Source organism: Homo sapiens, chromosome 22 (assembly GCF_000001405.40).
Source record: "Homo sapiens chromosome 22, GRCh38.p14 Primary Assembly".
Lineage (NCBI taxonomy): Eukaryota > Metazoa > Chordata > Mammalia > Primates > Hominidae > Homo > Homo sapiens.
In genome coordinates, this window is record NC_000022.11 from 17,397,868 (window position 1) to 17,425,735 (window position 27,868).

The window sequence follows — 27,868 nt, forward strand, 5'->3', positions numbered from 1 at the left end:
AGGAAAGATGATGCTTAGTATTGTTTGGAACATTAGCACGAGTTTCCACCGTTTTGGGAAATTCTGTACCATGTCATCATCTTTGTCAGTGGTCCTGTTGGATTGTTCATGCAACACTGTGTCTGTCGGCCTCTGTACTCTTAGCTTGCATGGGGAGGAACAAGCCCCTCTTTCATCTTCTGCTGAGGTCATGCTTAAGCATTTTCATTTTGACATTTATTTTATTATATATTTCATGGTATGTCTGCTTCTGATTACAGTTGAGGAATACATTGATTATATTTATGAATGTAGGAATTTGTATCATCTGTTAATTGCATTTTGGTATAACAAAGTGGGGGGGGGTATTATAAAATATAAAATACGTGTTATAAAGAGGGAGCGTTGGGCCCAAGAAAGCTGGACTGCCGGCCTGGTATGACTCGTCCGATCTGGCTCAGTGACTGCTCAGATGTTGCTTACTCTTCACTGAGATGGGAAAATTAAATGAGGGTTGAGTCTGGGGTGATGAGTATGTGAGGTCGTAAGTGTGGGACATGTTGAATTTGAGGTCTGTGTGAAACATTTAATTTGAGTTATGCAGTAGACAGTTGAGTGGAGATGTGGCCTTCAGAAGGGAGTTTTTGTCTGGGAGAAAATAACAGGAAACATTTATTGAGAGAAGTGGTGGTGAAGAATGCAGATTCTGGAGCCAGACGGGGTCTGTTTCCTGGTGCCATCCACAGTGCTTCTGTGACACTGGACAATTTACTTAACAGCCCTTACACTCAGTTTTCTCATCTTTAGAAATGGGAATAAACAGTACTGCTTGTGGAGTTAACGTGAGAATTAAATACCTTCAAGTTTGTAAAATACCCAAATTGTGCCAACTTATAAATTGTGCTCAAATTAGCTGTTACTATTCACTAAACATTCAGTATGTGCCAAGGATGGTTAATACAGAATTATCTCATTTGGTAGTTACATTACAAAACAATATTTTTATGAGATAATTGAGGCTCAGGGAGGCTTAGTATAGACTTGGGAGTCATAAGTAGTAAAGTAATGCTAAATTGGACAGGTTGAATCAGGTGATATTGGGCTCCCTCTGAGGTCCTCAGACCAGCATGGTGAGCACCTCCTGGGAATGTGTTAGAAATGCAGAATCTCAGGCCTTACCCTGGATCTGTCTACTCAATCAGATTCAGCATTTGAGCAAGGTTCCCAGGTGATTATTATGCACATTAAAGTGTGAGAAGCACTGGCTCAGAGATCTGAGTTGGTCAAGTTCAGCAGGGACAGAAAACTTGAAGGCCTCATTAATGGTATAGTAAAAGGCTCAGGAGGTGGGACGCCAGATGCCCATCCTGGCTTTAGCTCCAAGTTTTAGCTTTTGGACCTTGCAGTCTTTTTCTTTCTGTAGACCTCAGTTTTCTCATATTTTGGTGAGGCAAGTTCTCTTTTAGCTCTCACATTTTATGGTTCTCAGTCCAAAGTCTTCTCCTGGGAAGATGCTTCTTTTGAAGGGTGCTTAGGGTTTGGATTAGTGGAGGAGTTGAAGTAATGGTGATTTTTTTTTTTTTTTTTTTGGAGATGGAGTCTCCTTCTGTCTCCAGGCTGGAGTGCCGTGGCGTGATCTCGGCTCACTGCAACCTCTGCCTCCTGGGTTCAAGCGATTCTCCTGCCTCAGCCTCCTGAGTAGCTGGGATTACAGGCACGCGCCACCATGCCCAGCTAATTTTTGTATTTTTAGTAGAGACGGGGTTTCACTGTGTTGGTCAGGATGGTCTTGATCTCATGATCTGCCTGCCTTGGCCTCCCAAAGTGCTGGGATTACAGGCGTGAGCCACCGCACCCAACCTGTAATGGTGATTTTTATATGGGAGGATGAGCACAAGTACACTCAGATGCGACTATACCATGAGTGTAAAATTGTGGATTTTACTACAGTAAAAATTTTAGTGTAATTTCATCATTTCCCAACTTTCAGTATTTGAATTTAAGGGAAAATTTGTCTAGAAATCTTGAAATTTAAGAAATACATTCTTTTGGCATCTCTTTGAATTTTGGACCTCACATTTAATGATGACATGCTAATGCTCACATGATATGGTTTTTCATTATTATGCTTATTGTAATTCTGCAGTTAGCATTTTATTTATATATCATAGTTGGATGTATTTTATAATATATTAAGTTCTAAAGCACCATTACTTTTTAAAAAATCTGAAGTGCAGATTTGGCTTCCCCATTAGTCTTAGTTTCCTCATTTTCCTTCCTTTTGCCTGCAGGGACAATGTCCAAAGTACACATTAGTGTGACTTAGGAATTGGGTAATATGTTTTATATATAAGTGTTTTATTTACATTATATTTCCTGTAGTTTCAAAGTAATCTTTAGGATTACCCTCAACTGTTATATGCCAAAATCAGATGAAGTGACTGAAGAAGAGGAGTTTGTATTTTAAAAACAAAGCTGTCTGGGAAGGGCAGAACTTAGTGGCAGCCAGTCACTGAGGTGTGTGGAGTAGATGAGGAGGTCTGGAATGGATAGCAGGGTACAAAGTCACTCAGTGAAGATGCTTGCTGGGTGTTGAATAAGGTTAGAGAAGCTAGGCACACCTGCCAACTCTCTTTATCCTTAGGAGGCTCTTGAGAAATGTCCTTTTTCTCGTGAGTGATTTCATTTCTGAAGTCTTTGTTTTATGGCGGAGCTGCATTCTGACTCCCAGGCTGGCTGACATCTTCATTTCTCCCAGGCTTAAGAGCGAAGGGAAAGACAGAAAGTCTGAGAAGGGCAGAGAAGAGGGAGGTCAGAGGGTTTGTTCTGTAAATACCTTGCTGCTTATCCAGGTAATTGGGATCTCACTTGCCTGTGTATAGTTTGTTGGCAGGATCCCAGGAGAGTCTTTTTTGTTTGTTTTGAGACAGGGTCTCCCTCTGTTGCAGGCTGGAGTGCAGTGGCATAATCTCTTGCTCACTGCAGCCTCAACCTCATGGGCTCAAGCAGTCCTCTGGCCTCAGCCTCCTTAGTAGCTGGGACTACAGGCGCATGCCACCGTGGCTGGCTAATTTTTTGACTTTTGTTGTTGTTGTTGTTTGGTAGAGATGAGATCTCACTATGTTGCTCAGACTGGTCTTGAACTCCTGGGCTCAGGAGATTCTCCTGCCTTGGCCTTCCAAAGTGCTGGGATTACAGGTGTGAGCCACCGCGACCAGTCCCCAGGGGAGTCTTATTCTTGCAGGATTTTCTAAAGACTTCTTCTAGAACAAGTGTGACTACAATTCAGAATCTTCATCTCCCCTAAAGAAAGAGTGTTCCAGAGGTGAGGAGGGACGGGTGACAGAAACTGGTAGCTGAAGAGGTTTGTTGATGGATTAGTCTATTTATTCATAATGCTTGATATCAGAAGACCAGAAGAATATTTTTGCAACTTATTTTAAAAAACAGCTTTACTGAGGTATAACTGACATAATCTACTGCAAATATTTATGTGTACAATTTGGCAAGTTTTGACATATATATACACACTAGTGAAACCATTACCACGTCAAGACGAACATGTCCGCCAACGCCACGCGAGGGTGTGATATCCTTGTGTCCCTTTGTAATCTCTTTGCCCCCGTCTCACCCCAACCTGTGTTTCTCTCAGGGTGACCCCCCCAATCTGCTTTCTGTTACTGTATGTTAGTTTACATTTCCTAGACTTTTACATGAGATATACGCTCTTTTGATGTTGTTCCTGTTCGTTCTACTCAGTGTAAATGGAGATTCATTCATTCTGTAGCATGCGTCAGTAGTTGATTCCTTTTTATTGTTGAGTACTATGCCAGTTGAGGGATAGATAGTACTATAGTTTGTTTATTGAGTGCACCTATTGGCAAAAATTTGTGTACCATTCTTTAGACACATGCCTCCGTTTCTCTTGGGTAAGTACCTGTAAGTAGAATGACTGGGTCATATGGTAGGTGAATATTTAACACCCCCCCCCGCCCCCGCTGCCTTTTTTTTAACAGATGGGGTCTCACTGTGTTGCCCAGTCTGGTCTTGAACTCCTGGATACAACAAGCACTCCTCCCACTTCAGCCTGCTGAGTAGCTGGGGCTACAGGTGCTCAATACCATACCCAGCTCAACATTTTAACTTTTTTTATTGGAGACAGAGTCTCGCTCTTTTGCCCAGGCTAGAGTGCAGTAGCGCAGTCTCAGCTCACTGCAAGCTCCGCCTCCCAGATTCAAGTGATTCTCTTGCCTCAGCCTCCCGAGTAGCTGGGATTACAGGTGCCCACCACCATGCCCAGCTAATTTCTTGTATTTTTAGTAGAGACGGGATTTCACCATGTTGCCCAGGCTGGTTTCGAACTCCCGAGCTCAGGCAGTTCACCTGCCTCGGCCTCCCAAAGTGCTGGGATGACAGGCGTGAGCCACTGTGCCTGGCCAACATTTTAACTTTTTAAAAAAATAAATTTACTTTAGAATCATTTTAGATTTATAGAATAGTTACAATGACAGCACAGAGAAAGACTTCATGTATATCAGGGCTCAGCAAACTTTTCCTGTCAAGAGCCAGATAATAAATATTTTACACCAAATGGTCTTTCTTAAGACTACTGTGCTGATGTAGGGCAGAGGCTGCCATAAGACAGTGAGTAAATGAATGGATGTGTTCCAGTCAAACATTATTTATAAAAACAGGTGGTAGGCTAGATTTGGCCCTTGGATTGTAGTTTGCTGATCTCTTCTATAAACCCTCCACCCAGCTTCCTCTCATGTTTAATCTCTTATAATCATGGTAAATTTGTTAAAACTAAGACATTCACATTGGTGCAGTACTATGAACTAAACTTCAGACTGTTTAGATTCCAACAGTTTCCCAATCTTTTCTTTTCTTTCTTTCTTTCTTTTCTTCTTTTTTTTTTTTTTTTTTTGGAGACGTAGTTTCACTCTTGTTGCCCAGGCTGGAGTGCAGTGGCGCAATCTCGGCTCACTGCAACCTCCGCCTCCCGGGTTCAAGCAGTTCTCCTGCCTCAGCCTCCTGAGTGGCTGGGATTACAGGCATGTGCCACCACGCCCAGCTAATTTTGTATTTTTAGTAGAGACGGGGTTTCTCCATGTTGAGGCTGGTCTCGAACTCCTGACCTCAGGCGATCCACCCGCCTCGGCCTCCCTAAGTGCTGGGATTACAGGCGTGAGCCAGCGCACCCGGCAGTTTCCCCATCTTTTCATTTCAAGATTTGTTCCTGCATTCCACCTGACATCGCATGTCTCCTTAAGTCTGTTGTCATCAGCGTGGACTCATTGATACTTATCCTTTGGGTTTGAATCTAATACTGTTTACTTAGCTGCTCAAATTATTTCAAGCTTTGGCCATTGGAAATTCTTTCAGGTTGACTCCTTTCTCCTTTAGACATGTCCTCATTTTTTTCTTTTGGTACTGCCATTGTTTGGCTATACCCACTTTTTATCCATTCACCAGATGATGTATTGTTTTTGCTTTTGGATTGTTTTTGTTTGGGGCTATTATAGATAATAGCTGCACGTATTTGCTTGTAAGTGTGTGCTTTCTTTTTTTCTTGGACAAATACTTAGTAGTAGAATTGGAGTTATGTTTTAACTTCTAAAGAAACTGGCAAACTTGTTTTCCAAAGTAAACACACCAGTTTGTTTTCAACAGTAGTGAATAAGGGGCTCTAGTTTTTTCACATCATCAATACTTGTTATTTCCTGTCCTTTTGCTTATCACTATTCAGTAGTGGGGGGCGAAGGGCTATTTTAATGTGGTTTTGATCTGCATCTCCCTTATCATTAATAATGTTCACCTTTTTCTGTGTTAGCTATTTATATCTTTGGTGATCTTCTAGTTAAGGTATTCTGCTCATTTTAAAATTGGACTCTTTGTCTATTGAGCTGTTATATATTCTGGTTTTGCTTTTTCCTAATCTAAGGTCACAAAGGTTTGTTTCTTACATTTTCTTCTAGAAGTTTTATTGTTTTAGATTTACCATTTAAGTCTGTGCTTCATTTTGAATTGATAATTTGCATATGATATAAAGTACTGATCGAAGTTGGTGGGGTTTTTTTTGAGTGGGGAGGGGGCATGTGTTTAGTAGCATTTGTAGATAAGACCACCCTGGCCGGGCACAGTGGCTCACACCTGCAATCCTAGCACTTTGGGAGATGGAGTCAGGAGGATCACGAGGTCAGGAGTTTGAGACTAGTCCAGCCAATGTGGTGAAACCCCGTCTCTGCTAAAAATAACAAAAATTAGCCGGGCGTCATGTTGCACGTCTGTACTCCCAGCTACTTGGGAGGCCGAGGCAGAAGAATCTCTTGAACCCAGGAGGTGGAGGTTGCAGTGAGCCGAGATCGTGCCACTGCACTCCGGCCTGGATGACAGTGCGAGACTCTGTCCCCATCCCCCCGACCCCCCTGCCAAAAAAAAAAAAAAAAAGACTATCCTTTATTAGTTGCCCAAGTCAGTTTTCCATATACATGTGGGTTCATTTCTGGACCCTGTTCTTTCTTTTTTTTTTTTTTTTTTTTTTTGAGACGGAGTCTCGCTCTGTCGCCCAGGCTGGAGTGCAGTGGCGGGATCTCGGCTCACTGCAAGCTCCGCCTCTCGGGTTCACGCCATTCTCCTGCCTCAGCCTCCCCAGTAGCTGGGACTACAGGCGCCCGCCACTACGCCCGGCTAATTTTTTGTATTTTTAGTAGAGACGGGGTTTCACCGTTTTAGCCGGGATGGTCTCGATCTCCTGACCTCGTGATCCACCCGCCTCGGCCTCCCAAAGTGCTGGGATTACAGGCGTGAACCACCGCGCCTGGCCCTGGACCCTGTTCTATGTCATTGTTCACTCTGTTCTGTTTTCAAGACAATATCACAGTATCTTAATTAGTGCAGCTTTTAATAAGTAGTGAAATCAAATAATGTTAGTCCTCTCACTTTGTTCATTTTCAAAGTTGCTTTGGCTATTTTATATTTTTTATATTTCCATATGAATTTTAGAATTAGCTTATCAGTTTCTACAAAAAAAGCCTGCTAGCATTTAGATTGGAGTTGTATTGAATATCTAGGTCAATTTGTAGAAAATGGGCCTCTTAACACTATTGAGTCTTCTGACCCATGATGATGGTACCTCTCTCTCTCTAGGTTTTCTTTGATTTCTGACAGAAAAGTTTTATATTCAAATTCTCAACTCTTTAGGTATCTCCCATCTTTTGTCAGATTTATCCCAAAGTATTTCATTCTTTTTGATGCTATTATACATTTTTGAAAGTTTTAGGCCAGGCATGGTGACTCACACCTGTAATCCCAGCACTTTGGGAAGCTGAGGCAGGCGGATCACCTGAGGTCAGGAGTTCAAGACCAGCCTGGCCAACATAGTGAAACCTTGTCTCTACTAAAAAATACAAACAATTAGCTGGGCATGGTGGTGGACGCCTGTAATCCCAGCTACTCAGGAGGCTGAGGCAGGAGAACCGCTTGAACCTGGGAGGTGGAGGTTGCAGTGAGCCGAGATTGCGCCATGGCACTCCAGCATGGGCAACGAGAGCGAAACTCCGTCTCAAATAAAATAAGATAAGATAAGATAAAATAAGATAAAATAAAAAATATAAAATAAAATAAAATATAAAATAAAATAAATTAGACGGGTGTGGTGGCTGCCGCCTGTGATCCCAGCTACTCCAGAGGCTGAGGCAGGAGAATCGCTTGAACCTAGGAGGCAGAGGTTGCAGTGAGCCGAGATCGTGCCACTGCATTCCAGCCTGGGCAAAAGAGTGAGACTCCATCTCAAAAAAAAAAAAAAAAAAAAAAAAAAATTTTCAATTGTTTGCTAGTATTAGAAATAGCGTTGAGTTATATTACTCTTGTATCTGTAACCTTCCTAAACTCCCCCCTTTTAGCAACCTGTTTGTAGATTCCATTGGATTTTCTGCATAGATGATCATGTTGTCTGTAAATAAAAATAGTTTTGCATCTTTTTGCAATGTGGAAGCCACTACTTCTTTTTCTTACCTTAGTGCACTGTCTAGAGCCAACCATAAAATGTAGAGGCCAGAGTAGACATCCTGGTCTTGTTCCTCATCTTAGAGAAAAAGCATTCAGGTCTTCCCCTTTTCCCTTTCTATTTCTTCCTGCAGCCATGGGTTATTTAGAAATACGAATATATTAGAAGTGTATTAGTTATTAGAAGTGTGAAGAATATTAGTTTTCAAATATTTGGGAATTTTCCAGAGAGCTTTCTATTAATGATATCTAATTTAACCCACTTTAGTCAGACAAGACATTTTGTATGACTTGCATCCTTTTAAATGTATTGAGACTTGTTTTATGGCCCAGAATATGGTGTCTTTTGGTAAATGTTTCATTTTCACTTGAAAAGAATGTGTAGGACCGGGCATGGTGGCTCACGCCTGTAATCCCAGCACTTTGGGAGGCCAAGGCGGGAGGACCACCTGAAGTCAGGAGTTCGAGACCAGCCTGGCCAACATGACGAAACCCCGTCTCTACTAAAAAAATGCAAAAATTAGCCAGGCGTGGTGGCACACGCCTGTAATCCCAGCTACTGAGGAGGCTGAAGCATGAGAATCACTTGAACCCAGGAGGCGGAGGTTGCAGTGAGTCGAGATTATACCACTGCACTCCACCCTGGGGGGTGACAGAACAGGATTCTGTTCCTCCCCCCACCCCTCCCTCCAAAAAAAAGAAAAGAATGTGTATTCTGCTGTTCTTGGCTAGAGTATCTTATAAATGTCAATTCAGAGACTTCTTTATCTTTTAATACAATAGGGGTGAAATATGAAATGATTCATTTCCCTTCCCCAGATTCTTAGCATGAGTCTGGAAATCCTGCCAGCTCTTTCTTCTAGCTGAAGAGCTGTCTCCTGATTGCAGTGACAGCTTTGAACTGGAAGACATTATTTCATTAGTGCACTAATCAACCACAGAGATTACCTGATTGGCTGCTTAATAATTACATGAAGTTGCTTGTAATTCTTTGAGCATACACAGAACTAATTAAATTAACCCTTTACTGCCTGGCATGCCTGGGGTATTCTCGTGCGAAAATGGAGGAACCTAAAATCCTTCTTGAACACTGGTGAGGTAAACAAGCAGATGTGTCAGTGAGTTTCAAAGGGAAGCACCTTGTATAAGAAGCATTTAAGTACAAATCAAAAAATGCAGATTCAGAAACTACCAGTCCTTTGATAACTTGAGTATTAGCTTATTAGCCGTGTTCTTGAAGTTTAATGGGAAGCTTTTATACCAATACTTTCTTTGGATAGAAACTTAAGATAAACTCTTTTCATAGCCACTTACTGACTTTGAGGAGTTTGTTGTTGTTTTAAGGATCATTCAGTGTAAAATCATTTCCTTAGTTATTTCAGTATAAGCTTGCATCATCCTAGTGAGATATAGAGCAAGGCTGGTGAATGAGAATACCGTACTGGGCTATAATTGAAAGAGGCCGGGTGCGGTGGCTCACGCCTGTAATCCCAGCACTTTGGGAGGCCAAGGCGGGTGGATCACCTGAGGTCAGGAGTTCGAGACCACCCTGGCCAACATAGTGAAACCCCATCTCTACTGAAAACACAAAATTCGCCAGGCACGGTGGCGGGCGCGTGTAATCCCAGCTACTGGGGAGGCTGAGGCATGAGAATCGCTTGAACCTGGGAGGCGGAGATTGCAGTGAGCTGAGATCGCATCACTGCACACCAGCCTGGGCAATAGAGTGAGACTCTGTCTCAAAAAAAAAAAAGCCATGAATTAGAGGGCCTTATTTTAGCCTCAGGTTTTAGGTGGATGATTAAGGAAATTAAGATAGGAGAAGTTAGGCACCCTGTCTAACAGTGGTTCTCAACGGGGTGATTTGCCCTCTTAGAGGACTTTGGCGGTGTCTGGAGACAGTTTTGGTTGCCACAACTCAGGGGAAGAGGGGTGTGGGTAGAGGTCAGGAATATTGTCAAATAGCCTACAGTGCGTAAGACAGCTCTTGAGAACAACAGCAAACATCATCTAGTCCAAAATGTCAGTACTGCTGAGATTGAGAAACGCTGGTCTGAAGCCAGCTTATCTTGAGTTTTCATTAGAACATGGGTGTCCGAAACTGTACCTTTGGTGACTAATAATCTTGTCATCAGTTGTTGGTGATCCCCTCTAAATTATTATTTTTATTTTTTCAAGTTCATTTGTTAAACTGAAGCAAAATTTACATAACGTAAAATTAACTATTAACCATTTTAAAGTGTATGATTCAGTCACATTTAGTGAATTCAATATGTTGTGCAGCTGTCGTTTCTATCTAGTTCCAAGACGTTTTTATCACCTCAAAAGGAGAGACCCTGTACCCCCCTCAGCCCCCTCACCCCCCAGCCCCTGGCAATCACTCGTCTGCTTTCTGTCTGTGGATTCTAAATTATTTTTATATTTGCTTTTTTGTGGTGCTCTGGAAAGAACCCTGGTCAGGAAGTCAGGAGAGTGGACTTCACATCCCAACGTCTCCATTCTTCCTCTTGCTAGCTGTGTGATTTGGGCAAGTCATTCATCTGTTGTATGCCTCAGTTTCCTTTTCATTTATGTGGCAGCTGTCATGGTAGCCAGAATGCCATTTTTTTCTAAGTAAGATCTTTAAAGTCTGAAATTCTAGCCCACATGTTGTTTGCTCAGCATTTTTGTTGGACATCCGTAACAACATTTTTAATCCTACACTGATTGCTTTCTCACCCAAGATGTTTCCGAAACACCATTCCAGGTCCTGCATTAGTGTCCTGGGATTGGTGTGCTTGGAATGAGAAGTTAATGCTACTATCAGTTCACATAAAAGGTTAGCGAGGTAAAGATGCCACCAACATGTTAGTTCATCCCATAGCTAAACATGAATATATTTTGGGTTACCTGATTTAGCACCTACCTTGTATTACCTTGTATTCATGAAACAAAAGCAAGCATAGTATCTTTCTCTCTTCCCATTGTTGCATAAAGCCCTCCAGTGGCTTTCTCTTGCATTTAGAATAGTCTAAGTCCCTTACCATTGCTTAGTGGGGCCCACGAAACTTTCTGCATCTTCTACCTTCCTTACCTCGTACCATTCTCTCCTAGCTTTAGCTGTATCAGCTTTCTTTTCTTTTCATAAAGGCTCTGAACTCCATAGGGCCTTTGCACCTGCTCATGGTTTCCAGCTTTCAGCTCAGATTCATCTCAATGAATGAAACATGCCCTGATCAGCCTATCTATAGCTTGTTCTGTTTTATTAATTTTAAATGTTGTTGTTTTCTTGTTTTTTTTTGTTTGTTTGTTTGTTTTTGAGACGGAGTCTCACTCTGTCACCAGGCTGGAGTGCAGTGGCATGATCTTGGCTCACTGCAACCTCCACCTCGCGGGTTCAAGCGATTCGCGTGCCTCAGCCTTCTGAGTAACTGGGATTACAGGCGCCCGCCACCACACCCAGCTAATTTTTGTATTTTTAATAGAGACGGGGTTTCACCATGTTGGCCAGGATGGTCTCAGTCTCTTGACCTCGTGATCTGCCTGCCTCCCACCACACCCAGCTAATTTTTGTATTTTTAGTAGAGATGGGGTTTCACCATGTTGGCCAGGATGGTCTCAATCTCTTGACCTCGTGATCCGCCTGCCTCGGCCTCCCAAAGTGCTGGGATTACAGGCATGAGCCACTGTGCCTGGCCTAATTTTAAGTAAGTTTTATAAAGAGAGTAACACAATGAATTCCTGTCAGTGTCAGTGATTATTAATATTTTGTGTTCATGATCACCCAGTGAAAAGTATATCCTCGCCTCTCTTCCCAACCCAGTCAATCTCTGTCATATAACTCTTTTCTGTTTTCTTCTTCTGGGGTGACCTTTTTGGTTTACTTTAGTCTGTTTTCTCCCTAAGAATGTGAGTTATATCAGAGCAGGGATCTTCTCTATCCTATGCATTCTTGTATTTACAGTACCTAGAATTGTCCTATACATAGTAGATGTACTCAATAAATATTTACTGAGTGAGTGAATGAATGAAATAAAATTTCCAAAAGCAGGGACTGTGTTTTATCCATATTTGTGTTCTGAACTGTGTCTAGTAAAGGGCTTCACACATATTCAATCAAGTGTTTGCTGTCTATTTATTTATTTATTTATTTATTTATTTATTTTTGAGACAGAGTCTCACTCTGTCACCCAGGCTGGAGTGCAGTGGCAGTATCTCGGCTCACTGCAATCTCCACCTCCTGGGTTCAAGCGATTCTCCTGCCTCAGCCTCCCGAGTAGCTGAGATTACAGGCACGCACCACCACACCCAGCTAGTTTTTGTATTTTTAGTAAAGATGGGTTTTCACCATGTTGGCCAGGGTCTTGCACTCCTGACCTCAAGTGATCTGCCCACCTCGGCCTCCCAGAGTGCTGGGATTACAGACGTGAGCCACCGCGCCCGGCCCTGTCAACTATTTTTTTTGTTGTCACTGCCCCACTCTACTGACAGTAGATTTGTTTATATAGCGTAAGCCTTGTCAGGATTTTTCTAATGGGAGGAGAATGGTATAGTTTTCTTTCATTTACTTTCTGATCCCCCTGTTTGTATAATAAAAACAAGCGTTTTTTTGTTTTGTTTTGTTTTTTGTTTTTTGAGACAGTCTCTCTCTGTCGCCCAGGCTGGAGTGCAGTGGTGCAGTCTCGGCTCACTGCAACCTCCACCTCCTGAATTCAAACGATTCTCCTGCCTCAGCCTCCTGAGTAGCTGGGACTACAGGCGCACGCCACCACACCCAACTAATTTTTGTATTTTTAGCAGAGATGGGGTTTCACTATGTTGGCCAGGCTGGTCTCGAACTCCTGACCTTGTGACCTGCCTCAGCCTCCCAAACTGCTGGGTAATATTACAGGCATGAGTCACCACGCCTGGCCAAAACAAGCTTTAATTGAATAGAAATGTTTTTCCTTGCCAGATTCACTTGGTGGTTGTCTCTGCCTAGGTAATTTATAACACATTCTAGAAGCCCACATTTGTCTTTCTTTTCTCTGATTCATTGTTTCTAGAGCTACAGAAGGTAAAAGCTGGAAAGGATGTTAGAGATAATTTAGGTTTAACTCATAGTTTTACAGATGAGGATGTTGCCCAAGGTCATATAATAGGTAGTGAGTTGAATTGGGATTAGAACCGGTAGAGCCAAGCCTAGCAGTTAATAGGAAGCCCAAGACTTAATCATTTTCTCATTGTTTCATATTTACGAGTTCTGTTTTATCAGTTGGATTCTAAAGTTCTTTGTCATGACTGGCCGTGTATTATATTATGCTCTTTTAGTACTTTGCATGGCCTTTAGCGTTAGGCACAGGGTAATGTTTTTGGATTGAGAGAGTCATGTGAAGGCATTGCTTTAGTTGAAAATAATTTAATTTCATATATTTCTACCTGCCTTATGGGAAGAGACACCTGGAGGGCAAATCTTGATTACTTGTACAATGGGTATGTAAAAAGAATTGGGAATGGGACAGATGAGATGGAGAAAATTAACAGAAGGCTGCAGATGGTGGCTTAGCACTTTGGAACGAGTCCATCAGTTCCTGCTGTCCAATCCAGTGTGAAAGATCCATCTGGGCCTCCCTTGAGTGCAAGAATGTGATGTAATGGGCCTGGGATGTGCAAGCTGGGTTTCACTGAAAGTAATTATCGGGCTGGGTCGGATAGATTTGGCAATGTTAGATATAAGATACAAGATGGGAAGAACTCAAGACTTGGGTTAGGCAGATCCTTAATATAGGACCTATCTTCCCATTTATCTGGTAAAATCCAGACCCTTGGCACCTTGGTCCTTGTTTTTGTTTTTTATTAAAATATCTTACATAAATCTCAGAATTTAAAACAGCACCTTTCTCTTTCAAAAAAATTATTGTAAACATTTTAGGAAATTGAGAGAAGCAAAAAGAAAATAATTATAATTACTTCGAGCCTATATAGGTCTACCTATGTATATATACAGATACATGTAAAATGTATCATATGATATATATTTTTATGGCTTTTTAAAGGTAATATATAATAAATGTTTTTCATGTTAATATGTAGATCTGATGTCACTGTAATTCAGATATGGCCATGCTGTCACTTATGCCCTGTTGTCGGACGTCAAGGTTTTTTCCAATCTTAAATGGACTAACAGTGCTAAGATGACATCTCTGTGTAAGTGTATACATGACTCTTTCCTTAGGATGTAACTTTATAGTGGAGTGTGTAATCTCAAAGTCACGTACTGGTAAATTTCTAAAATATTCTAATGGCGAGTATTCTCTAATATCATGGCTAATATTCTCAAAACTTGCCTTATTTCTTCTGCATGTCAAATAAACAATGATCCTTAGCTGTGGCTGCAGTTCTGTTTACTATAACTAGAAAAGACTGGGGAAGGGTCATTTCTATTTGTTGAGTCTGGTTCGCAAAATACAGTAATAGAAGTTGTCACCATTGATAATGTGATTCAGTCCAGTTGGTAAAGTCATTCTGCTGCTTACAGTTGCGCGTCATTTTCAGTTTCTAGCTCTTCTTTCCTTGTTCATTCCCCGCCCCACCCCCACACTCTTCACTACTTTGTGTGCCCAAAGCATGCCTGGATTTGGCTTGGCTCCCATTCTTAGGGCTAAAGAGGCCTTTGGCTCCCAGCTCCTAATTCGATAGCATTTGCTGATTTTCACATTCTGGGGAGACATAAGGGCTGTCTCCGCCCTCCTACCTTCACCAGAGGTAAGTGATGGAAGGGTATTGCTATGGGATCAGAGACAAGGTGGAGAACCCTCTTTCCAGAGGCTCTTGCTAAAGGAAAATTAGGACTTCGGAGGCTGAGGAAACTGTCCCTCAGCCTGCCTGGAAAGCTCTTTGAAGCCATTCTTGAGTCTCCATCCGCCTTGTATTGTGTCTTTGTGTGGAGACAGGTGGCGGGCGGCCTTCTGGGTGAGGGGGATGGAACCATGACCACCTTTGGCAGGCATCGTGCAGAGCCGCCCCTTTCCTTTCTCGTGGCAGTGCGGGTGCGGCCAGTCTGTGTATCTGTGCCTCCACATTCTGTTCTTTGAAGACGATGCTGCTTTTTTTGCGGCTAGGCTGCAGTCGGACTTCTGATTAGACGTTGTTAAGTTTTCCTCAGGAGATGCCTGACATCCTCTTTAAAACTGGTCTGAGGTTGAGAGTGCCTGGCCCTGTCCTCCACCCTCTCTTGGGGCGCACATGCCTTTCTTTGGCCTTGTTGGGAATACTCCTTTTGCAGAGCCTTTTGTCTTCCTGGAGTCAGTGGTGAGGCTGGTGATGGATGAGGGTTATCTGATGGGGAATGGACCTCCCATAAGGGAAGTAGTATCAGAAAAGTATTCTTGTGAGGAAAACACAGAGGAGAACAAAGAGAGCAGGTTGATGGTTCTAACCTTGGAGAGTGTGGAGGAAAACAGGGCACTGACAGCAGCAGAGGGCATGACATACTCCTTTGCAGGATTTCTTCGTTTCCAAGCAAATACCCTGTAAGATCTGCAGTCTGTTTTGGTTGCTTTTAATTGTTTTGAGGCACGTTCTTAATGTATTGCTGTGTCTTGGCCGTGATTACCTCACTTCCTTAAGCTCACTATTCTGCAGCTGCCTGGCTTGTGGACTCCATTAACATTGTTCAGACCTGGGGATCTTAGCAGCAGGGAAAATAGGTAGAGTCCTTCACTGCAGGACTCTACCTGTAGTCTTTCATTTAGTATTCAGTATGACATTTTGGGCCTGCTCGCCAAACTATTCTGTAAGCTAGATGTGTGGTCTAAAGATAGTCCAAATTTCATGTGCATTTGGAAGGAGGATTATTATTATTATTATTATTATTATTTTTTGAGATGGAGTCTTGCTCTGTCGCCCAGGCTGGAGTACAGTGGCGCGATCTCAGCTCACTGCAAGCTCCGCCTCCCATGTTCACGCCATTCTCCTGCCTCAGCTTCCCGAGTAGCTGGGACTACAAGTGCCTGCCACCACGGCCGGCTAATTTTTTTTTTTTTTTAGTAGAGACAGGGTTTCACCATGGTAGCCAGGATGGTCTCGATCACCTGACCTTGTGATCCGCCCACCTCGGCCTCCCAAAGTGCTGGGATTACAGGCGTGAACCACCGCGCCCGGCCTATTATTATTTTTTGAGACGGAGTCTTGCTCTGTCACCCAGGCTGGAGTGTGGTGGTGCAATCTCCGCTCACTGCAAGCTCCGCCTCCCAGGTTCACGCCATTCTCCTGCCTCAGCCTTCTGAGTAGCTGGGACTACAGGTGCCTGCCACCACGCCTGGCTAATTTTTTGTATTTTTAGTAGAGATGGGATTTCACTGTGTTAGCCAGGATGGTCTCGATCGCCTGACCTCGTGATCCGCCCGCCTTGGCCTCCCAAAGTGCTGGGATTACAGGCGTGAGCCACTGCGCCCGGCGGAAGGAGGATTATTAATCACTCTAGATCCCTAGGAGACAGATTCTCAGTGTTGACAGAGTTTTGAAGTGTATTGCAGGTACTTTATTACTGATTGTGAATTCCCTAAGTTGGCAAATTATATACCTAAAAAGTTAGAGTAGATTTAAAGTTATTTTTGTAATTTTCTCACTCAGTTTCTTTTTTCTTTTTTTTTTTTTTAGAACGAAACCCATTTATTATATCAGTTTTCTTTTTTTTTTCCTGATTTTTTTTTATTATTATACTTTAAGTTCTAGGGTACATGTGCACAACGTGCAGGTTTGTTACATATGTATACGTGTGCCATGTTGGTGTGCTGCACCCATTAACTTGTCATTTACATTAGGTATGTCTCCTAATGGTATCCCTCCCCCTCCCCCCACCCCACGACTGGCCCTGGTGTGTGATGTTCCCTTTCCTGTGTCCAAGTGTTCTCATTGTTCATTTCCCACCTGTGCTCACTCACATTTTCACATGCTCTCTAGGACGGGAGAAAAATGGTTGGGGTGAGGCGTTAGGGGCAGTGGGAGTGGATTATAGCTAGTACCCCCCAGAGCCTGTGTGTGATTTATCTTGAGCCTTTCTTAGTGGTGTACCTGTTTGGGGGCATGCTTACATGTTTAAGGCATCTGTTGGTCTCCAGTGATTAATTTCTGAGGTGTGGTTTTTAAAGTGAGAATCAATTTTAGACAGTGTAAAATATATGATATACATGTTTACTAAATTGTCTCTTACTTGGGGCATAGGAGTATGTGTAAGATGAATGGTTAATTCACTTAGAAGCCATTCGTGTTGGTGCCTTCAGTGCCTAGCGGTGGGCACTATAAAGTCATTACATGAGTGAATATGAACCTTACCTGTTAACAGACATATGGCTTGTAGTCTCAGTTATTGACTTTTCTTTATTTTTTCAGCTGAAATGAAGCTTCTCTTCTTCTCCTTCTTTGTTCTTCTTTTTTTCTTCTTCTTGAGACAGGGTCTCTGTCGCCCAGGCTGGAATGCAGTGGCACAATCTCAGCTCACTGCAACCTCCACCTCCCAGGCTCAAGCCATCCTTCCACCTTAGCCTCCCAAGTAGCTGGGATCACAGACAGGGGCGCGCCACCGTGCCTGGCTAATTTTTGTATTTTTTGTAGAGATGAAGTTTCGCCATATTGCCCAGACTGGTCTCAAACTCCTGGGCTCAAGCGATCTTCCTGCCTTGGCCTCCCAAAGTGCTGGGATTACAGGCGTGAGCCACGATGTCTGGCCTACTGTTTTTTAATGGTTCATTTAAATTACTGTGCCTTCTACAGTTGGTATTTACACCATGCATTGGATAAAATGGGGAGATGTCTTAAAGTAGTGTAGGGAAGCCTCCGACAGGAAAACCTGGGCCTGGGTGGATCAGGACTTATACTTACTTTTGCCTTAGGCTATCTTCGTGAAATGGAAGGTTTGTGTTTTTAAGTGGGTCAGAAATTGGAACTTTAAAATGTTGGTTTCAGCAATTTTGGTTTATCTGTTCTTTACTTTCATCTACAAATAATTTGAAACTTTTATCTCTCTGTTGTTTGTTCATCATCCCATCAATCCGTCGGTCCATTGTGTAGCATCCACTGCAACACACCTTTCTCTTAGATTTAATTTTTTGTTCACTGGAGATTTGAGGGCTCATCACCAAATCCAGAGGTCCAGGTTTCCCAGTACACTCACGATTTCTGGGAAGAAACTGTTTTTAGGATTGCCATTAATGTTTCCAGGCCCTTCCCATTTTTGTGTTGGATTAAAATGGTGACAACATGAAGCCTGCAGTCAATGTGAAGGGAGTTGGGTGCCTTTCTTAGTGAGATACCTTAAAGGGAACCTTTGAATATGGCTCTCTAAATAGTGACAGATCTCTTATAAAATATGTTCGCATATATAGAGTTCAAAGGTAAGCTAGAGACATGAAGAAAGGAGCAGTGATTTATATTTATCACTTCCTTAAAATGATTACTAATATGGAATTTGGAATTTCTTTTTGCTTTGTGAGTCAAGAAGATGGAATATATATATGTTTAGTTTTTTTCTATACCTTTATTGTCACTGACCTTTTTTTGTATTTGTTTCCTTTGCCCTCAGATATTGACAAATTGCATCCTCCTCATTAATGCTCTGAATGATAAAATGGGCAAAACCAAATAGGGTATGTTGGTTAGGATTTTGGTCCCACAATCTAGGCTATAGGAGTTCAAATCTTGATCATACTGTTATTATTATATTGTTATTTTGAGACAGAGTCTTGCTCTGGTCGCCCAGACTGGAGTACAGTGGCACTGTCTTGGGTTCAAGCAATTCCCATGCCTCAGCCTCCCTAGTAGCCGGGATTACAGGCACGTGCCATCATGCCCAGCTAATTTTTGTATTTTTAGTAGAGACACGGTTTCATGATGTTGGCCGAGCTGGTCTGGAACTGCTGGCCTCAAGTGATCTGCCTGCCTCAGTCTCCCAAAGTGCTGGGATTACAGGTGCGACCCACCACGCCTGGCATTGATCATACTATTATAGATGGATCATGGTTCTTCCAATTTGGAACCTTAGATTGTGTCAGTAGCTTTACTTTTTCTCTTTCTAAATAAATAAAGCACCATTGGATACCAAATGTGCACATTTATGATTATTTCCATATAGTAACTCCTTAAAAGTGTCACAGTATGAATCTTTTTAAAGTCTCTTGATACGTATATCACATCAACATTGTCAGATTCTTTTTTTTTTTTTTTTACGACAAAGGGACTTTAAAAAAAATCTAAGAATTTAACTTTATCACATACAGTGGTAGATGTTTTACCCTCGTTAATTCTTGAAGAAACTTATTTTTTGATTGCCTTTACTCCATGCGTTTCAGAAGTTTCTGTTGTAGGCATTTGAATAGAAATGGCATTTAGATAAATTTAAATGTAGGCCTACCAACAACCATTGAGTGGCACTATCTTTATAACAACTTAAAAAGCTGTACTTAGTGAAACTAATATTAATCACTGTCAAGTTTTGACAAGTCTTGTAAAAAGGGAGAAAAAATAATTAGGTTAAAGGTGTTATTGCTACGATTTCTGCTTAGGATGAAAAGTAAAATTGTGGCTCTCTGGAATTTACTTGGAAGCAGATCTTCTGGATAGCTGAGATTTCCATATAATGGAGTTTACTACAGTTTACTACTTGTGGCCTGAAAAAAAATTTTTTTTAAATTGATACAGGATCTCGCTATGTTGCCTCAGGCTGCCCTCCAACTCATAGCCTCAAGCCATTCACACGAGCAGCTGGGACTATAGGCAGCATTCCACAACACCCAGTCTGGCCTCTTATTTTATTTTAGTATTTTTTTGAGACAGACCCTTGTTTTTTCAGCCAGGCTGGAGTGCAGTAGCGTGATCTTGGCTCACTGCAACCTCTGCCTCCCGGGTTCAAGGGATTCTCATGCCTCAGCCTCCCTAGTAGCTGGGACTATAGACACGTGCCACCATGCCCGGCTAATTTTTTTGTATTTTTAGTAGAGACAGGATTTCACCATGTTGGTCAGGCTGGTCCTGAACTCCTGACCTCAAGTGATCCACCTGCCTTGGCCTCCCAAAGTGCTGATACTACAGGTGTGAGTCACTGTGCCCGGCCCTCAATTTTAAATTTTCCGCTTTTGAGAAGAATCTTGATAGAACGTATTATACTTCTTAGCCTTAAAAAAAAACATAAAAACCAATCATCTTTGAGGTATAATTTGTATACAATTAATTACACAGATTGTAAGTATACAGTTGAGTTTTGACAGCTGTATACAAGTGTATAACCACCACCCCCCAAAAAATATAAATCATTTTCATTCCCCAAGAAAGTTCTCTCATGCTGCGTGCAGTCAAATCTGCCCCACCACACATACCCTGCCCCAGGCAATGGCTGATCTGATTTCTCTCACTACAGATAAATTTGTCTGTCCTGGAAAATAAGTGCAATCATAACATATGCCGTTTTACTTGTCCTTCCCAGGCTAATGTATGGGATATACTTTTATCTAGTCCCAGTAATTGTGCATCCTCAAGCCTATGTGTTACTGCACTGCGCTGTAGCTTAGTGGTTCATTTTCGTTCTGTTGAGCTGTGTCTGTCTTTGCCCGGAACTGTAGTAGCCCCACAGGTACTGGGAGAGGGAGGTTTCTATTGCACCTCTTGTCAGAAACCAACTCCCTTTTACTTGTATCCGTTCACATACTTTCCTAATAGTTTTCTGTTTCTGTTATAATTAGCTGTGAGCTGTGCAATCATGTAACTAACTTTGTTTAAGTATTGTTTAGTCTTTCTGGTCTCCAGATGAGCTATATAAAAATGAGGTTAGGTCAGTCTCGCTGTGTGCCAGACACTCGCGAGGGGCAGCTCCTCTAGTGCCCGGCGTCAGACATGGCGGAGGCGATGGATTTGGGCAAAGACCCCAATGGACCCATCCATTCCTCGACTCTGTTGGAGAGAGGGAGGACGGGAGAGGGAGGACAGCAGCTCTGTGTTCTTCCACGTGGGGCCCAGCCCGGCCGAGCTCATCCTGCAGGGTGACCGCACTGTCAGGTCCAGGAGCCCGGGAGGCGCGGGCCGAAGCCCTGGGCCACTTCATTTCCACAGGTACATCCTGGACTGGTGGAGCCAGCGAGAGGCTGGAGCTGGAGCCTATCGGCTGGGCCCCGCCTCGCCTCAGGGGACACTGCTCGGAGACAAAGCCCGGGGCCCTGGCCAAGGGCACCGCGGAGGCGCCTTCCCAGACGCGGATGACGTGGCTGTCCTGACTGACGGGAAGGAAAATGGCTGCTCGCCCAGCTCCATCACCAGCAGCGGCTTGTGGACAACTCGCCCACGCATCCCTGGTGGCGGTCCCTGAAGCCCCCGCGGGGTCAGGAGCACGAGCACTTGCCAGGGGACGCCTGGGGCGCCCCTCCTCCCAGAAGCTCCCGCGGAAGACTGGAGCAGGCCACCTGGCTGCGGATAATGGGAACCACAGAGTGAGAGAACTCCACATCGGCCTGAAGGAAGAGCATGTGAAGGTAGAAATCCAGGAGAGTGAAGAAGCACTGTAAAAGATGCTTGCAGAAGCCACCTGGGGATTGGAGGAGGTTGTGGTGGATGAGAGCCCTGATTTGGAAATACATTTAACAATGTGTGATGAGGATCCCCCACGCCTGAGGAAGACTCAGAAACAGAGCCTCATCAGGAAGAGGAAGAGGAGGAAGAAGAAGAAGAAGAAGAGGAAGAGGAAGAGGAAGAGGAGGAGGAGGAGGAGGAAGAAAAGAAGAAGAAGAAGAAACAGTTTCTCCACTGGAGGTGGGAGCTGCCATTATGATGATTCCGCAGTTAATGGAGAAGTTTAACTTGGATCTATCAACAGTTACACAGGCCTTCCTAAAAAATAGTGGCGAGCTGGAGCTAGAGAGCTGATGGATAAATTTGGTCCCAACAAGATGACATAGGTTTGTAAAAAGATGATGGGGATAACAGAGAGGCATTGGTCAAAAAATTTGGTGCTCAGAATATAGCTCAGAGGATTAGAGGATTGAGTTTCGAAAGAAATAATTGGCAAGATAATGAGAAAAGAAAAAAGTCATGGCAGATGAGGTGGTTAAAAAAAATTGTGACCATTTAACTTTAGAGAGTTCTTGCATTGGAACTGGCACTTATCTTCTGACCATTGCTGCTGTTGCTCTGTGAGTCCTAGATTTTGTAGCCAAGCAGAGTTGTAGAGGGGAGGATAAAAAGAAAACAAATTGGATGTATTTACAGCTGTCCTTGAACAAGTTTCAATACTTACGAAAGGAAGATTTAAACCAGAGGGGGGTTGGTCTACATAGTAGTAATCCTTTGTTGGAATGGAACCCTTGCTATATTAGTGACAAAGTCAAAGGAAATTTAGGAGGCATAGGCCATTTCAGGCAGCATAAGTAATCTCCTATCCTTTGGCAGAAGCTCCTTTAGATTGCGATGGATTCCAAATAAAGAATTTAGAAATATGGGAAGATTTAATTATGAGGCCTTGAACACGGATTATCCCCAGACCCTTGTCATTTCTCTCAGTGAGCTCTGAGTTCTAGACTGCTTTGAAAATGCCATATTCATTTTGCTAACTTAGTATTTGGGGACCCTGTTCCTTGGCTGTTCTTTTCTTGGAACCCTTCTCAGTCAAGCCTGTAGGGTATCTTTCTTTACCCACCACTCATTCAATTTTGTTTAAAACATGCACGCAACCCTAAGGAGTCTCAAGAATAAGCTTACTTGGTTAGTGTGTTATTTATTGAGCATAGCTTGTCCCAACCACTGTGTTAGATTATAAAAATTAGTGGATTGAGTCCACTTTGTTGTGTTGTTTTCATTATTGAAAATAAATATAACTTTGTATTTGAAAAAAAAATGAGGTTGTGTTATGGCATGATAAAACAGTAAAGTTGTACCTCAGCATTTTGATGTAGGGATTTTCTGCTTATCTTATTTATACTTTTATCACTTTAATGTTTATCCGTATGCATTTATCACTTATTATCTTAAATAAACTCTTAATTTCTCGAAAAGTTTTAGATTTGCAGCAAAAGTGGAGAGGAAGGTACAGAGATTACATAACTTATATCACCCCTGTCCCTCACCCACATTGAGAGGTATTATGAGGACCTCGTAATAACTATAGTCCTAATTCTTCCTCCCATCCCTGTATCGTTGCTGTCCGTCATTTTACTTAGAGACATGTATAAGTACACATCAATGTATATAATAGAATACATTGTTGCCATTCCTATTTTGAACACACCCATTAGCTAAGAATTTTTTTTTTAAGTTTTTATTTTAGCCTCATTCATTCTCCAGTGCTGTTTCTTTATGTGGATCGGAGTTTTTGACCTGTATCATTTCCATTCTCTCAAGATTTTTTCTTGGCTGGGCACGGTGGCTCACACCTGTGATCCCAGCACGTTGGGAGGCCGAGGTGGCGGATCACAATTCGGACCAGCCTGGCCAACATAGTGAAACCCCGTCTCTACTAAAAATACAAAAAAATTAGCCAGGCAAGGCCGGGCGCGGTGGCTCATGCCTGTAATCCCAGCACTTTGGGAGGCCGAGGCGGGCGGATCACGAGGTCAGGAGATCGAGACCATCCCGGCTAAAATGGTGAAACCCCGTCTCTACTAAAAATACAAAAAATTAGTCGGGTGTAGTGGCGGGCGCCTGTAGTCCCAGCTACTTGGGAGGCTGAGGCAGGAGAATGGCGTGAACCCGGGAGGCGGAGCTTGCAGTGAGCCGAGATCCCGCCACTGCACTCCAGCCTGGGCGACAGAGCGAGACTCCGTCTCAAAAAAAAAAAAAAAAAAAAAAAAAAAAATTAGCCAGGCATGGTGGCAGGCGCCTGTTATCCCAGCTACTCAGGAGGCTGAGGCAGAAGAATTGCTTGAACCCGGGAGGCAGAGGTTGCAGTGAGCCGAGATCCCACCATTACACTCCAGCCTGGGTGACAGAGCGAGACTCCGTCTTGCACTGGGTGTTCCCTTCCCTTGGGTCAGTTAGGCTCTGATAAAACCGCATCTCTACTAAAAAAAAAAACAAAAAAAACTTTTTTTTTTTTTTAAATTTCTTACAAGGCAGGTCTACACATCTCCTCAATTGTTGTTGCAGAAAGTCTTTATTCTCCTTCACTACACAAGGATTCTTTGTCAGGGTACAGAATTCTAGGTTGGTGGGTTTTTTCTCATCACTTTATTTCACTCCCCTCGTCTTGCTTGTCTGGTTTCTGAGAAGTCAGATATATTGTAATTCTTATCGTCTATAGAGAAGGTGTTTTTTTTTCCCCCCTCTGGCCTCTTGCAGGATGTTTTCTTTCTTTTCTTTATGTGTATTTTTCTGTAGTTTGAATGTGACATGCTTAGAGTAGTTTTGTTTTGTTTTTGTTTTTGTTTTGAGACGGAGTCTCACTCTGTGGCCTAGGCTGGAGTGCAGTGGCGCGATCTCGGCTCACTGCAACCTCCACCTCCTGGGTTCAAGCAGTTCTTCTGCCTCAGTCCCCCGAGTAGCTGGGATTACAGGCGCGCGCCACCAGGCCCAGCTAATTTTTTGTACTTGTAGTAGAGATGGGGTTTCACTATGTTGGCCAGGCTGATCTCGAACTCCTGACCTCACTCAGGTGATCCGCCTGCCTCAGCCTCCCAAAGTGCTGGGATCCCATGCCTGGCCTTAGAGTAGTTTTTTGAGCATTTATTGTGCTTGGTGTTCTCTGAACTTCCTTAGATCTGTGGTTTGGTGTCTGACATTAATTTGGATAAATTTTCAGTCATTGTTGTTTTAAATATTTCTTCTCTTCCTTTCTTCTCCTCTTGGTACTTTCATGTGTTTATATTACACCTTTTGTACCTGTCCCAGAGTTCTTGGGTATTATCTTCTGTTTTTTTGGTCTTTTTTTTTTCCCTTTGGTTTTCAGTTTGTATTGATACATCCTTAAGCTCAGAGATTATTCTTTTTTTCAGCGGTGTCCACTCTCCTAATGAGCCCATCAGTGGCATTCTTCATTTCTGTCACCATGCTTTGCTCTCTGGCACTTCTTTTCATTTTTTCTTAGAATTCCTATCTCCCTGCTCATGCTGCCCACCTGTTCCTGCAAGCTGCCTACTTTCTCCATTAGAGTCCTTCACATTAATCAGAGTTGGTTTCAATTTCCTGCCTCATAATTCCACTTCCCTGCCCTCTCTCAGTCTGCTTCCGATGAGTCTGGTCTGATGCTTGTTCTGCCTCTTCACACTACTTTTTGCCTTTTAGTGTGCCTTGCAGTTTTTCTTGGTAGTTGGACAGGATATACTGGGTGAAGTAGGCCTTTAGCAATGTGGTGGTGAGGGGTGGGAAAGCAGGAAGCGTTCTTTAGTCTTAGGATTAGGTCTCAGCCTTTTAGTGAGCACCTGCCTCTGGATGGCGAACTTCACACATGCTTCTCTGTTATCCCCCCACCCTTCATGGGACAAGATGGCTAGACTGGACTGGAGTTGGGTGTTCCCTTCCCCTGCGTCAGTTAGGCTCTGATAAAACCCTCTCTCTACTAAAAATACAAAAAATTAGTTGTGTGTGGTGGCACACGCCTATAGTCCCAGCTACTCAGGAGGCTGAGGCAGGAGAATCGCTTGAACCCAGGAGGTGGAAGCTGCAGTGAGCCAAGATCGCGCCACTGCACTCCAGCCTGGGCGACTGAGCGAGACTCTGTCTCAAAAAAAAAAAAAAGAAGAAGAATTAAGTGCTCTGGCCTGTTTCAGAATGGCTCCTTTCCAGAGTGGTCTCCTGCTTCTGGCAAGAGAGGATTTTTCTGATACTCACCATGATAACCTGGTAGAACTCCAGAGGTAAATCTTAGAAGAATTGCCCCCTATACACCATGAGTGGGTTCCCCTGGAGTTTTTAGCTCTCAGATTTGTTCACCCTGAGGCACTGGTTCCCTTGTAGGTTTCTTCTCTGGTCAGTTGTGATGCTTGGTATTCCCGGCTGTCTCCAGTTTGGGGCACTGTGATTTGCCTTGTGACGTCATCTCTTTGAGGAATCTGAGAAGACTTGTTTCGTCTTCAGTGTGTTTACCTTTTTACTTGTTAAGTCGGACTTCCAAACTCCTCACATGCTGAACCGGAATCCCATTTAGCATCGTTTTAAAGCCTCAATATGCATAAATAATAATTTGCCTTTTCCACCTTAATATTTTCCATTCTTTTTGTTTTTTGTCACTCTGCATCTTCTATTCAGAGCCTATAGCTCTTGAGATTCTGTCATTGTAAGCACATCTTAAAATATTTTTATATTATGTTATCAGAATATGCTAAGGAATTAAATGAACTTTGAGAAGATAATTGTTACCTACCAGGCTAGTCTTGAACTCCTGGGTTCAAGCAATCCTCCTGCCTCAGCCTCCCCAAGTGCTGGGCTTACAGGTGTGAGCCACCACACCCGGCCATGGTTACTTTTTTTTTTTAAGTTTGGTAAAGTTTTAATGACCAAGTCTAAGGGTTGGAGTGAGTAGGGATTACTCTGTTAGCAGGCTCTGGGAATCTCATGGTCATGTAGAAAAAGGGATTCCTCCACAATGGGGAGTGTGGTCATCTCCCTCAATTGCAGACACACCTTGAGTTCAGGGAGACATCTCTCCACACTTGGACCATCTTCACAGACCCTGGCAGCAGTCGATGGGCAAAGCTGTGTAACAGTGATGGCCGTTTACCATTGCCTGGTATTCATTGTCCAGCACGATGATGTGGAGCTCAAATACTCTGCCATCCTCAGCGGGCATATTGTTGGATCTCTCCTCACACTTCCAGGCCCACACTCATGGCTGTTCATGATCACCCAATGGCCAAAGTACACTCAGAAATGGAAGGCGATGTCTGAGTGCTCATCGTCCCCCTGTGGAAATGCACCTGCAGCTGTGGGTTGTTGATGAAAGGGAGGATTGGTGTCCCTCTCTCATGCAAGAACCAGTAGACAAAGACACAGGCCATGTGTGGGGCATGGGCAACAGTGATACTGTTGTCTCCCTCTGGGCAGCTCCTATGAATTGTGACCAGTCTTCTCCATGGTTACTTCTAAAGCCATGTTTTTGCCCTAGACATTAATGTAAGAAATATTGATTGCTTGCTTTTTACTAGGTGTTTTGCCAGACAACAGAGAGGTCGAAGACAAGGCGGAGTCCTTGTGTTTCAGAATGATATAATCTAATATCTAAAATTAAGGCTTCTTTCTTTACAGTGTCTATTCTTGAAGCTTGGCTTTTACGTTAACTATGCATTTACTTGCCTTTTGAAAAATGCTAAGAAAGTGTCTTGTGCTTGTTCTCACTACTTTTGGTTTGTTATTTTGTTTAGTAAATTTGTTTGGAAAGATGAATGTGGTTGCTTCTCCTTTTAGCGTCCAAGTGTAGTGTGGTATGGTCTTCAGAGGTTATAAATTGCATCTAGTATCTGAGGAAGAGGATCTTAATCTCATGTATGTGAACACAGGTGAATATGTATGTAGCAGCACCCTGGAATGATTTTTGGTGTGAGAACAACTGTGCTTAGAGCCGTCAAACTGCCTTCTGTTCTGGACCTATTTGGTCCTGGTTTTTCTTGTGCTTTGTAATTCTTACTTTCAATACATATTTATTGAGGGCCTATAACATGTCAGGTTTTAGGTGCTGAGTATAGGAAGTCAAATAAGTTAAAGATAACTAAACTACTATATGGGCTCTGATAGGAATAGGACTATGCAAAAGGATACCTTGGGCACACTGAGCAAATACATCTAAATGAGACTTGGGATTGAGAACAGCTTCCCAGGACAGCAGAGCTTGAGTTAAATGTTGAAGAAGCAAGTGTAGGAATTAGCTTGGGCAGAGTTGATGGGTCTTAGAGGAGAAGCAGCATTCTAGACAGTGGAAACTATTTTGACTCTTGGTTTCTAGTCTAGGCGGATAGAC

The 27,868-nt window shown here is 43.0% G+C and overlaps 1 protein-coding gene and 2 pseudogenes across 10 annotated transcripts in view; 2 read left to right on the plus strand and 1 right to left on the minus strand.

The window, feature by feature from the left end:
- The window catches only part of CECR2 (CECR2 histone acetyl-lysine reader), a 198,203-nt gene that overhangs the window by 37,919 nt on the left and 132,416 nt on the right, over positions 1-27,868 (plus strand). The gene's annotated exons all lie outside the window — the stretch shown is intronic.
- Positions 21,074-22,811, plus strand: TERF2IPP1 (TERF2 interacting protein pseudogene 1; annotated as a pseudogene).
- On the minus strand, positions 26,377-26,984 carry CLCP1 (Charcot-Leyden crystal protein pseudogene 1; annotated as a pseudogene).